The sequence below is a fragment of the Homo sapiens genome, chromosome 14 (assembly GCF_000001405.40).
Source record: "Homo sapiens chromosome 14, GRCh38.p14 Primary Assembly".
Lineage (NCBI taxonomy): Eukaryota > Metazoa > Chordata > Mammalia > Primates > Hominidae > Homo > Homo sapiens.
The window spans coordinates 30,374,253-30,388,410 of NC_000014.9; the positions used below are offsets into that span (position 1 = coordinate 30,374,253).

Genomic DNA, 14,158 nt, shown 5'->3' on the forward strand with positions numbered 1-14,158 from the left:
AAAGTGCCTCCTTCGGTTTTGCACTCTGGGTGCCTCCCTTGCTTCACTCCAGTCCCAGCCCCATCCTAAACCTTGTTGCATGTCAGCTACTGCTCTAAATATATTTATATATTTAATACTTACAACAACCCCATGAGATAAGTAATGTTAGTATCTTCTTTTACAAATGAGGAAACAGATTAAGTACTACGCTTAAAAATCTCAGAGTTAGCAGAGACAGGGATGGGATTCAAATCCAGTCATCCTGACTGGAGGTAGACATATAATTGAATGAATACCTGAATGAAGGAATAAATAAATAGAATGCTATAAAATGTTGGGAAATGCAGAAACCTTTACATTTTATATTTACTTTTTATATTTTTACTTCTAATCCACTTCACTGTTTCAGTTAATAAATAAAGCCAGTGTAGTGAAATGGAACAAGTATAGATTTTGGAGCTAGACAAGACTGGTTTTGAACAGTGCTTCTGTGTGGACTTGGGAGATCACTTACTTATCTGCTTTAACTTGCATTATCTCATTTTGTAAATTTTTATGAGTATTAGCCAAAAAGTACATAACCAGCATACAATGCCTAGAGCTGGGTGCAGTGGCTCATGCTTGTAATCCCAGCACTTTGGGAGGCTGAGACAGGGAGATTGCTTTAAGCCAACAGTTCTAGGCTAGCCTGAGCAACATAGTGAGACCCCATCTCTACAAAAAAAAAAAAAAAAAAAAATTAGCAGGGCATGGTGGCATGTGCCTGCAGTCCTAGCTATTCAGGAGGCTGAGGCAAGAGAATCACTTGAGTGCAGGACTTCAAGGCTGTAGGGAGCTTCAAGGCTGTAGTGACCACGCCACTGCACTTCAGTCTGCAAACATTTATCAAGTACTCAATGTAAGGTAACTTTTATTATTTTATCATGTATATTTTTGGGACAAAAGAATCATACTGTAGAAACTATGGCAACTAGATATAATATTCACAACTCTAATGTAAAATATGGCTACCATGGACAAATCACATATTGAAGACTCTTGTATCAGTCAGGATAGGCTAAATTATGCTGAAGTCACAAACTAAAAGCCCACTTCTCAGTGGCTTCACACAACAAAGGTTTGTTTCTTATTAACTGTACGTATCTGAAGCCAGCCATCAGGGGCTCGGCTTTAGTTACTCAGGGACTGGAGCTGACAGAGGCACTATATTGTAATAGCCGCTCCTTCTGGAACGTGCAGTAGCCTCAGTCACCAGCAGAGGGGGGTGCTAGAGGGCCTCATATTGGTAAGCACATATTAGTATTGGAAATGACATATGTCACTTCCACCCACAACCAACTGCAAAAACTAGTCAACATGCTCCCATCCAACTGTAAAGTGGTAGAGAAATGCAGTCCTCCCATGTGCTTGGAAGGAAAAAGCAATCAGACATGGTGAGAACTAGATGATTTTCCCACAGACAGGTCCCTTAGCCCATAAAGCTATCAGAAACAGTCTTAGATTATGCAAACAACTGAAGGACTATTTCCCAAGTTGGTTTATTCTCATTGTTGAAGAAATGAAGCATAGAATTGGGTTCATAATTTAGTGGGGTTTTTTTTTGGTAAGAAATGCATTTTATCCTCATGCTGACTTAGCACGGTCTGAACTGGTCAGTTCAGGTTTGGGGAACAGCCTTATATACAATCATTGCTGGAGTTGTCCTGAGTATGCCAAAATAAAAAATGCTGTCAGCTAGAAAGAAACTTTGCACAACAAAGTGTTAAATGGAATAGTACCAGGCAAAATAAGGTAATGCTCTTTTGCTGTCTAGCACCACATAAGATGCTAACTGAAAGAGTAAATAAAAACACTCAACGTGCATTTAGCTTTCATAATTTACCTTCTGCAAGGTTGATTTCTAGTATGCAGAATATGCCACATTATTTAGGCTGTAAAAAGGAGCTGCTTTACACTACCTGCCATGTACAATTATAATAATCTGTCAGACAAATATAATTAGGGAGTGTGATGTCTGTTTGAGTGTGAAGGCTTTGATTGTGTGGTATTGTCTGCTCTCCCCTGTGGCACAGCATAAACAATTGTACTCAGTGGTAACTCTCAGCCAGGACTAATGCTCAGAGTCAGGAACGCCCCATCAAATAGCACAGATGGTTGGGTTTAGGTTTGAGGTTGTTGGCTTGTTTGCGTCCACCTCCCCACACACAACCCTTTCAAGTTTTGGTCAGCAAACTTGACTAAAATAAAGCCTTCTGCAATACAATCTGGTGGGTCTCCAAGATATTGTTAACAGATCATAAAAGTGAATGGGAGACTCATGCAGAGTATGGTCAATTAACAAGTCCCAACCATTTCAATGATGAAAAACAGGCTGAGAAAACAATGCGTGGGTCACTTTAATGATTAAAAAAAATTAGGTGACACTTCGTGGATTTAAAAGATAAAGTTGTTATTATGTAGAGTAAGTTGTGATTGTAACTTGCTATTAGATTCTCACACCAGCTGGCAAAATAGAAAAGGTAACCATCATTTCAGCTTTTCATAATAGTATTTAGTAAATTAGATTGGAAGCATGTTTCATTTTAAATTAGTCAGTAGTCTTCTTGCCATTCCATCTATACTAACATGAATCAGCCTATTTTACTTAATTTTATTTTATTATTATTTTTTGAGACAAGGTCTCGCTCTGTCACCCAGGCTGGAGTGCAATGATGCAATCTCAGCTCACAGCAACCTCCACCTCCCAGGCTAAAGCAACCTTCCCACCTCAGCCTCCTGAGTAGCTGGGACCACAGATGCATGCCATCACACCTGGCTATTTTTTTGTATATTTGGTAGAGATAGGGTTTTGTCATGTTACCCAGGCTGGTCTCAAGCTCCTGGACTCAAATGATCCTGCCACCTCAGCCTCCCAAAGTGTTGGGTTACAGGTGTGAGCCATGGCTCCCAGCTGATCAGGCCATTTTAAATTTTATTGCCTAATTGATTATCTTTTTATCACTGTAACCTTCATAACCAGAGATTTTGCCGTGGGACTTCTCTACAAGAGACTCTTTTTGCTCTTTAAGAGGAGACTTACCTAGATGGTACTTAAGAGGTATCAACTTACCAAATTCTGCTGTGTTGTAATTCATGTGGTAGAGAAGTTTGGTATTATAATCCGAAACACAGCACCTAAACTAATGGTCAACCCAAAGGAACAATGAAGATTCGACACCTTGTTTTCTTTTAAATTACAAATATGTAACATTCTAATGGTATCTGGACCAACTTAGAAAGATCAACAACTTTGCATTAACAACAGAGGTTTCTTGCGTCTACAAGAGAGCATTAATATTTTCTCTCTCTCTGGACAAATGAGAAAAGAACCCCAGAGATGAATTCTTATACTTCTGGTACTTTTATCCTAGCTAGAGATGTGAAATAATTTTCTGATTGAATCCACTATTGAGAAGGAATATTATTTTTACAATATTTTGATGTTTGAGTCTGCCAATGTAGACTCTAAGGAATATAACAAACCAATAATAAAATAATGACAGATCATAAAACCTTTGCATTGGAAAGACCTCTTCCCAAGTTGAAATGATTAGTTCCTCCCTTGGATCCCACTGCACCTTGTATAGTTTTCTTTTCTGGCTATTATAAGGATATGTCTAACTCTATTGGTCTACAAATTTCCTGATGCCAGAGGTTATGTTTTACTTCTCTTTGCCTCTCTAAGGCTTAAAATAGTGCCTACGTTATCATGAATAGGTTACCATGAATAGCTGAATTGATAGATGGATAGATGAAGGAAACAAATTCTATATTGTAATAGTGGATATTTGTTGGCCCCTCCCCAGAATCCATTTCCTGCCTTCCTATCCCCACTTTTCAACAGTTCCAACTTACATTCGAAGATGCAGGTGGTTCAAGGGAAGCACTTATCATCTCCAACTCCAAGAGTCAAATATGCAACCTATGTTAAACCAATCGGCACATTCCATCCAGCTAATCAGTGATTGGCTCTGCCTTGAGCACGTGACTTGAGTAAAGGCTTGCATTCAGAGTGAATCTCAGGATTGTTTCTGGAAAGGAAGAGACAAAGATGCCCTTTGCTGTTGGCTGTAAATGTGGAAATGTGTAGCCCTGGAGGCTGATGGCAGTTATCGCAGGACCATGAGGAGAACTAGTCTTAGGATGGAGCCAACAATAAGAAAAATATAGCAGAGGCAGAAAGAAATTGGAAACCTCACTTGAAGCCAATCTTATCTTTGGACTTTTCAGTTACAAAAAAAAAATGAAGAAGAAGAAGAAGAGGAAGAGGAAATTTTCTTATGTTTTCATATCAGCATGGGTCAGATGTTCTGTTCTTTGCAAAATGATGTATCCTGATACAATTGTGAATATCATTGAGCAGATGTGATTTGAACAAACACAATGTACTTCAAAAATGTTGACAAATCCTAATCCAAAAACATATATACCATTTCTGCCAACTAGAAGTGTTGAATACCCTTAATTCCCATTTTCCACTAAAAGGAACCAGGGCTTCTTGAAGAAACAATTGATTCTAGGTTTGGATAGGAAATGTACAAGTTCAGCGTGGAACATGTGGTTATACCAAAAATCAGGAAAGTTCTCAAAAGCTGCTGTGTCAAAGATCTTAGAAGCCAACTTGAAAAGGTTCCCCAAAATGGGACAACTTGAGCATCAACAACATAATAATAATTTCCATGGCTTAAAATTAATCAAATATAAACATTCACACATTCGTAATGGTATGAGGGGAAACAAATCTCATTCATCTTAGAGAATATTATGAGAACATCTAAATAAAGAGAAACAATCAAGCACATAACCTGCTTTCTTGTATGAACTGTATCCCAGGAAGATCTAATCATTATTGAGGAAAAGTTTCTCTCTATAGACATGAAGAGAGCCCCATGTCACAAATGCTTAATGCAATAATGGATTGAGGCAATAAGCATCAGTGGCTACTAAAACCCCCCAAAATAGAAACAACTAGACATGTATGCTTCTTGATGTAAGTACACCATATCACCAGTGAAGTGTTCTTGTCAGGTAATCAAACCTGAATGAGATCAAGCTTCTAAATCTAACTACTATTTCACAGGAAATTTTAAAAGAATGCAATCAACAAAATCCAAAATGTGAAACTCTGTAGAGAAAATGACTCAATTTTCGTCAACAAATAAATTGCAAGAAACAAAAAGAAATGAGGGAGAACTTATGGATTAAAAGATTTATAAGAGACATAACAACCAAAGGTAATATGAGGACCTTACTGAAATTTGGATTTGAACAAACCAACCATTTAAAAAATGAGATAATCAGAGATATTTGGAGGCTAACTAGCTATTTGATGATATTAAGGAATTAGTATTAATTTCAATTAATACTAATGATTATTTTTATTGGATGGTGATGATTTTTTAAGGATTCTTCATATTTTATAGACTCATACAAAAGTAGTTATGGGTGCAAACGTATGGTGTCTTGGGTTTGCTTCAAAATAATACTTCGGGAATGGGGGAGAGGAGTAGTAAAGATTAAACAAGATTGGCCATGAGTTAATTGTTGAAGATGAATGATGGGTATATGAGAGTTTATTAGACTATTATCTCTACTCTTGTGCAATAGTTAAAATTTGCCATAATAAAAATTGTAAGTATATCATTCTATTATCACTGAAAATCATACATATATGCCAACCTTCCTTGTTTTTACATAAACAGGCTGCCATTCTTTGATCACATTCTAATTTAACCATGTTCTATTTCACCTGCATACCTAGCCACCATCACTGCAGTCTGCCTGCCTTCTTCCCAATGAGCATTGTCCCGCATGTGCACACTCATCCCCATGGAGGTGGTCATAGCATATCCATCATTCTCCCAGACCACACACAAAATTCATTTTCATACACATGGTTTTCTTCCATTCATTCTCTGACACCTCTGCTCTACACCCATGGCACCGATCATTCCAATTCCCATATCTCTTTTAAAAGGGACATGCTTCCTAACTCATGCAGACAGAGACATAGAGCAAGTGCTAGTTTGAAGAGTTCCAACATCCACCTTCCTGTGGGCCTCTATACATAATCTGGCTCAGTCTAAACCTCTTAAGTGAAATGCTCTCCTGGAAATAAAATCTGCTTTCTATGTTCTATTTTATTTTAAACTCAATACAAAGCAATGGTCCCCAAAGAAAAGTTATGCTGGAGTTAGGTTCACACAATTTCCCTGAAATGTAATATGAGATTTAAACACAGATGATATGACTGGTTAATAAATGTCACCATTGAGCAGCTTTGTTCACCTAATAATATCATTCAGATCATTATAAACAAATTGAAGGGGTTCTTATGTGAAACAAACACGGCAGGACTTATTCCTGAGTAACACAAGACCAAGGCAGGGCAGCCAATCCTAACGGGCAGCGAGAAGGGGCAAGGCCAGCGTGCAGCTTTGTGGTATCCCGGGAGGATTTTATTTCCAAATATAAAATTCATGCCATGCTCACAGGCAGAACCTTAGAATAGTCATAATGATCTAATGACAGTATTACCATGGAAGGCTGCTACTAATACCTTGAACTACTGCCGTTCTATACAGATCCAGGGATATGATTTCAAAGCTCATGTGGAATGAAGACTGCCCCACCTGAAAGCAATCTACCCAAGTAAAAAGAAGAAGGAAGAAAAGAAAAGGGCAGAATGCAACTGAAGCCCACAATTTGGGATATCTAGGATGGGGAGGTCAGAGTTGGTTCTTTGTGGGGTTTCTTTTATTATTGTTGTAGTTTGGGGAGGGAGTGGTATTTTATGGCAAAGAACGAGAAAATATCTCTAAATTGGACAGCATTGCCTGCCTCGGACTTTTTGAATTACCTCTGACTTAAAGATTATAAAGTGTTTATTTTTCTCTTCCAAGAAGGGAGGGCATAGTAATTTCCTCCATTACCCTCATGCTCTCCTCCCTCTGCTGTTGAGGGGACAGTTCATTGATGATAGCTCCCTTGTGCTCAGTCAACACTGATGGCAAAAAGAAAGAAAATAAACAGCATATTACCTGTGAAAGAATGGGGAGCCCCTATAAGTCCAACCTAATAAACATCCAAGGACTATTGGGCCTGTCACTTGACATTTTGATGGAAATGGCTGTTGTTGTATTTCTAGAAATCAAAGGAAACATCAGAACCTTTGCAAACAGGAAAGCTGCATAACATTTCAAATACCAGTTAAGTGCCTATATTTATAGGTAGTGTTCACTGTTTCAAATATAACCCTGCAATTCTTTTGGAGAGAGGTTCTGACAGGGCTAACAGACCTGTTTAATATATATATATATATGTATATATATATCATTTTTAAATGATGCTGAAATTTCCTTTTATTCCTTCGATAATTTGCAGTTGGAATTCATAATTTTAGCAGTATTTCTCACATATAATGCCAAATTCGGTAACACCTACTTAAAGTGCATTGTAGCATGTGTTTAAGATACATTGAGCTCTTTGCAGAAAAGGTGCTATAGAAATCTAATAAATAATAAGTAGATGATTGACAAAGGATAACATTAGGAGCTCATTTTTGAAACTTTATAAAAATACATGCATTTGGGTTAATTCTCAGCTAGACAATCTCCTTGGCAGGTAGTGTGTAAGGGATCCTACATGCCCCAGATTTTAAGGTTCTGGAATATGATGGAGAGGAAAAAAAGGTCATGGCCTGCAGAAGATAGTTCTGAGGTTACAATAGTTCTCAACAAGAATCCAGGCAGGAATCCTCCCAATTTTGGCCTTGAAAATGCATTCACTGATGTTATTTGGAATGTGAAAGAAATCCAAAATATATAGAAGGTAGAGTTATAAAGGGCGGCTGGATTCAACCACATGGCCAAATTTGAATCAGCAAACTGACATTCTCTAAGATAACACACATTATGTCCTTTAAAATTAAAAAAGAAAAACAAGAGCCAAGTATCATTACTCATTTGTTATTTTGTGAGTTGGTTCAACTCAAGAATGCATAATTTTCTGGTTCTAATGCAAACTAAGGAAGGACGAGAGCCAGATATAAACAATTTCCTCCTTCTGGAGTAAAATATATAGCTATCCAGGGATTTAATGTGATTATGAAAAGAGACCAGATGCCTTGAATCTTGGCTGCTACAGGACCTGGCTTGGCAGCCTATAGGTTGATCTCAGAGAGGTAAAGATGAGTCTAAGAGGACTACTTTAAAAATGGAAATAAAATGGTTTATAAGTAAGCAAAAGCAGGAACAAGCTTATCGTAAGCAGAGTAAGCTGATGAAGGTGCAGATAAAACTTCATCAGAAAACCTGTGTAGTATCGTTTATGCCAAAGCATGACATTTGAATCTTCACATAGGAGTATGAGTTTCCAATGCATTTGGTTTTGGGATTACATCTTGGACAAGTTCTTTCTCTTTTTTTTTTAATTTTTCTTTGGTGATTTTATTGACTACTACTACTAATATGTGCATTTTGTAGAGAAGTTTTATATATGCCAGCTAAATAAAATCCTTCATACATGTCTCCAAATGTTGGACAAATGTAGATACATTGTTTATGCCAATGTCATTTGTTATATTGAAGTTGCCCTGATCATTTAATCTCCCTGTTTATTGTGGTTGGAAGTACTTTACATACTACCATATCATCTACAATTTGATCTTATACTATTTTATTTCTTCTTCTTAAAGTGTAATATGATATATTATATGCCCCTCCCTAATGAGACTAGAGAAAGAGACAGGCAGCCATCTTGACTCCATGAGAAAATAGTTTGCAAACCAAATCAATATACCAAGGATGGAGGAGTGGAGAGAAGGAAAAAGCCTGAATCATAATTGACATTGCTGTGCTATAAACCAACCCAAGAATTGTCCCCTGTCCCCACCTCCTCTCATATAATATCATTAAATCTTTTTATTATGGAGGCTACATTTTAGTTAGGCAATCTGTTTCTTGCAGAAGAAAGCCTCAGAATTAATAAAGTAGGGTTTGAGGTTTCAAAACCCTAATCCCTGAAAGACTCTGAGCATAATATTTATGCCAACAGATTTGGAAGCTAAGGTCAAGCCAATTTGACCTAAAAGCTAATTCCTTGGGGCAAAGAAAGAGAGAGAGAGAAGAAACTAAGAAACCTAAGACATTAGTATTTCCTAAGAAGAAGGCCTGCTCCTTGCTAAACTCCTGTCCTAATCTCAGGAAGAAGAGGAAATAAGAGAAATTCCAATTACATGTGCACAGAGAGGAGACAGAAGGAGTCAAGAGAGAACAGGCCAGCATAGCTTGTGATCTGGATCAGGAAGGTGTAGCCACTTGAATGACCCATAAATGGAGACCATGCAGGAGTGAGGAGGCTCAGGTACGCCAGATTGGACAATTAGGGACCAAACATATCCCATCCCCCACCCTCATTCACATCAGTACTTCATAACCTGCCTGGAACCTACACGATCCTTAGGGAAGTGGGGGCTGGGGACAGCAGTGTAGGAAATCTGAATTGATTAAATTTGAGAACTTAAAATCGAAATTTTTGAAAAATAAGAAGAGTGTTCAGACCAGAGCTTATGGTTTGACATTTACACTTACTATTTAATTAATTAACTGCTGGTAATAATGATAGAATGCCAGTTCCTACATTCAAGAAGCTCACAGTTTAATAGAAAAGACAGGCAAGAAAACAGTCAACCATGATACATGAAGTGTTTGACAGATAAATATGCAAGATGGCAGAGTACAAAGTGGGGGTTTGGGGTTGCAACTTGAGCTAAGTTTTGAAGGGCAAAAGCAGTTAACCACAGATGGTGTGGGGAAATGCGGAGTTCTGTTTGGGTCTTGTTGCATCTGAGGAATGATTTTTGTTGTTTACAATCAGGGAATCTTGGGTGTGTCTACCTGTTAAGGGGAATGAGGCAGTAGAGAAGTGGATGATGAAAAGAGTGGCTGGAAATTATGTCCGGAGAGCTCTGAGGAGGCAGAGAGCAAAGGGACACAGATCACAGGCTCAGAGGTTGGCTTTGGCCAGAATAAGGAAGTTGAGAAAAGGCATAGATGGAATACTGCAAATACATTGTACACACCTTGAGAGTTGACAGGAAGGTAAGAGAGTTCGTGCTAGATGACCTCTATTTTATGTGAGGAGTGGAAGTATGCAGGATTTTAAGGAGGGGAGTTCTGTGGACAGATTTGTATTTTAAACATCACACACCGGGGCCTGTCGTGGGGTGGGGGGCGGGGGAGGGATAGCATTAGGAGATATACCTAATGTAAATGACGAGTTAATGGGTGCAGCAAACCAACATGGCACAGGTATACATATGTAACAAACCTGCACGTTGTGCACGTGTATCCTAGAACTTAAAGTATAATAAGAAATAAAAGTAATAAATAATAAATAAAAAATGAAACACTCTGGTAGAGAGTCAAGGAATGAATATATGAGAGAAGCTAAGAAAAGACTAAAAGCTGACAGACTTATTAAGAGATTATTGGAGTCATTCGGTGAAAAGAATCATCAAGGCCTGAATTAAGACAGTGACATTGGAAGGGAATAAGAGGGAATCCATAGATATTTCTAAGCCAAAATCATTCTAAGAAGTGATTGTTTAGTTATCAGGAATGAGGGAGAGAGAGAAAAGGAGGAGGATACCTGAGACATATTTGGTTTATCAGAAATTTGAGCAGGAACAGGGAGAAGTTTTAGGGAGAAAATAATGAGCTTAACTTTGAACACATTGAGATTTAGATAAAGATATTGACAAATTATAGATTTAGACAGGAATTGATTTAGATGTAGATATAGGCAGTTGGATTTGTGGCTCCCGAGTTCAAGAGATGAGGTTTTAGCTGGAGAAAGTGTGGAGAAATCTGTTCTCTCCAGAAGGGTGGTTGAAACAATGGGGATGTAGGTGAGATCAGCCTGTAGGAGTATGTGAAGAAAGGGGTTTTACAGCCTTTGTTTTTAATCCACTCCGTAATTCATCAATTTGTTAACCTCCTCTGTATTCAATGATTCCTAAATATCTACTCCACTTTCACACTTGGAGTCAATATTATTTCCTCTCATTTGGTGCTCCTATTGGTCAAGGGAACCTCCAAAAGCCCACACAAGCCATGGGAAGTAAGATCCACTATAAATATGTCCTATTATAATGAATTTATTTGTTATAGTTCTACTGTGAAGGCTTAAGATTACCAAATGACTATCTCCTTAGAAGTATAAAGCAAGCATAGTAAGCTAAGAGTCAGAATCCCCTTTTGTCAACTCTGACACTACTTATGGCATATTGGACAAATTTTTGCAATAGCTGGTTACTGAGGTTGATGCTCTCATTATGAATACAGTACAATGTATTGTTTTGCTCTTTAAGCAATCTTATATACACAGACATGAAATTATCAAAAATGCTTTTAATCCATTTCAGTGCATGTATTATAATACACTAAATATATTTCCTTTTTTCATCACAGAAAGTCAAAAGATCTGTTTTTCTTGTAGTATTCATAAATGACCTTAAAACTGACCCACATATAACCTACTAATTACCCTCCATGTACCTTCCAGACCCTGATTAATTGTGTTTAGCGTTTATGTGAGACTGTGACTCTACTCTGGAAATCATCTGTATAGCTTGTAATTCCCAGTGGAAAAAAAAATTGCTGTGACCTATACAGTTGGAGAAAAGAAAACACAGCTACACTTTTCCAAAAGCAGAACAAAGCAATGAAATAACATACCTTTCACTAGGGACTTGGTGTTATCTGAAACCCTATAATCCACATCCCATTCTGCTTTTTCAATAGGTTGGATGATTTCAGTGTGCGAGTCAGAGAACTAATCAATTTTGAAACAGCATCTGCAAAAATAGATAATGTTCATGTAAAGGTCAACCTAGTCATAAAACCTCATTGGTGTGAGTAAATAAACACACAGGCTTTGTATAGAGGGGTTCCCCTAAACAGAACAGCAGTGCAGGATTGGCAATGTGATACTGCATCAATACCATCAAAAGAATTTACCAAGCACCAACATGTAGAATGAACTATGTGATTAAACTGACATGGTCCCTGAACTTCTATAATGTAATTTAACTTCTGTGCTCCTAATGGAACACTTAAGAATCTAAAACTCATTGGGTCCCAAACTAAACTTTTCTCCCAAATTGCTTTTTCTCCTGTGCTTTCTATGCTAGTGAAGGAATCCATGGCATCCAAGATTTCTTTCTCTCCCTTACCCGAGTTACCAATCCATCTTTAAAGTTTATTGGCTCGACCTCCTAATTATCCCCTGAACCATTGCCTTTTGCTTCATTTCTATAGCCATCACCGTTTTCACTAAGACTATTGTAATATCAATTGCTCTGAACTCCCCTCTTCCAATGTATCCCTCACACTGTTGCTAGAGTGATTTGACCTTCAAGTCTCAGTATATTGCTCATCTGCTCAAATGCCTCCCAGTCAAAACTCTCTACCTTTTCTTTTGTGCCATTCCTACTCATCTTTTAAGGCTCTCAGATCATTCAACTATTCATTCACTCAGTAAATATTTATTAAGCACAAACTTCATGTTACACAGTGCTAGGCACTGGAAAGACAGTGATGATATAGTCCTGGTCTCACAAAATTTGCAGTGGCAAGAAAGTAAATGAAATAACAAAATGTGGCCGGGCGCGGTGGCTCACGCCTGTAATGCCGGGAGCACTTTGGAAGGCGGAGGCGGGCGGATCATGAGATCAGAAGATGGAGACCATCCTGGCTAACACAGTGAAACCCCGACAATACTAAATATATTAAAAAAAAAAAAAATTAGCCGGGCATGGTGGTGGGCGCCTGTAGTCCCAGCTACTCGGGAGGCTGAGGCAGGAGGATGATGAGAACCCAGGAGGCAGAGGTTGCAGTGAGCCGAGATCGCGCCACTGCACTCCAGCCTGGGCGACAGAGCGAGACTCTGTCTCAAAAAAAAAAAAAGGAAAAGAAAAGAAAAGAAAAAAAGAAATAACAAAGTGTGATAAATATTGTGAGGAAATAACTTTGGTAGAAACAATTTAAAAAGAACTCTGGGGACCCCAAATATTTAAGGTGTGGGTAGAGGAAGAAAGGTCTCCAGAGGAATGGAAAGTAAGGTGGGAGAGAATATGCTGCCCTGGAATGTCAAAGAAAGAGAATATTTCTGAAAACAAAAGAATAATTAAGAGTATCAAATCCTGCCAAAAGGTCAAGGAAATAAGGACTGAAGATTATCTTGGAATTTTGCAGACACTTGAACACAATTTTGGTGGAGTGGTGTCGGCCAAAGCCAGCATGAAGTGAGTTGAGGAATGAATGAGAGATAAAGGAACGGGGGTAGCAAATATAGAAATTCAGCTGTGATGGAAAGCGATTTGGTAGCTGGAAGGGAATTTAGGGTTGAGGGAGACTCCCCAGAAGGACCCATGCAATTTTTAGTGCCTTCTTAATAATATGATTATTGTCTTATATTATGTAATATTTGGCTTTCTGTTCCAGCACTAAAAGGCAGGAAACACATTATTTCATCTTTATATCTGCAACTCTTAGCACGAGTTCAGGTACAAATAAGTACTCCATAAAAATCAGTTTAAAGGCTGAATAAATTAGTGATCTGCTGTAATCCAAATTTGAAATTCATTCAATTGCCATCATCCTTGACTTGTCTCTATTTTTCCTCTTATCTGCCCTTCCTGACTAGTAGCCCCAAGGGTTACACAAGCTTTGTGTCCTTGAACTCCTGCTCTGGCCTGTGTACACTCCTTCCGTACGCCAACCCCTGGAACTTAACACATGTGCAATTGCTCCCATCACTGTTCTCCCCCATAAGTCAGCCTGTGTACTTTTCCAACTTCTCTAAGACTTTTTATACCCAGAGGTATTTGAGGACTGTTCTGAATGTTGTGTTCCAATCCTTGCTTGTTCAGATGTGGTCATGGATATGGCTAGACTCGAGCATAGATCTTTCCATGTTCCAAAAAGGCAGGCTTCTACTTTTCCCAAATAATAAGGTATTGTTTTATTATATATTCCATCAACACTTTATGCCAGATGTTTGCTTGACAAATTACAGCTCTGAATTCTTGATCCAGTGTTTTACCTGATGAAGAGACATACTTTAGATATGATTA

At 38.2% G+C, this 14,158-nt stretch overlaps 2 long non-coding RNA genes across 2 annotated transcripts in view; one reads left to right on the forward strand and one right to left on the reverse strand.

Moving 5' to 3' along the window:
• Positions 1-3,927: 3,927 nt before the first annotated feature.
• Positions 3,928-14,158, reverse strand: part of LOC112267868 (uncharacterized) — a 96,358-nt gene continuing 86,127 nt past the window's right edge. Inside the window, exons 6-7 of the long non-coding RNA XR_007064106.1 lie at positions 11,760-11,878; positions 3,928-4,052 (exon numbers count right to left, since the gene is read on the reverse strand). This is a non-coding gene — a long non-coding RNA (uncharacterized LOC112267868). The remainder of the gene's footprint in view (positions 4,053-11,759; positions 11,879-14,158) is intronic.
• Positions 4,935-9,369, forward strand: LOC105370430 (uncharacterized). Its single transcript, XR_943705.2, has 4 exons — positions 4,935-5,011; positions 5,102-5,255; positions 6,606-6,748; positions 9,225-9,369. It is a non-coding gene; the product is annotated as an uncharacterized LOC105370430 (long non-coding RNA).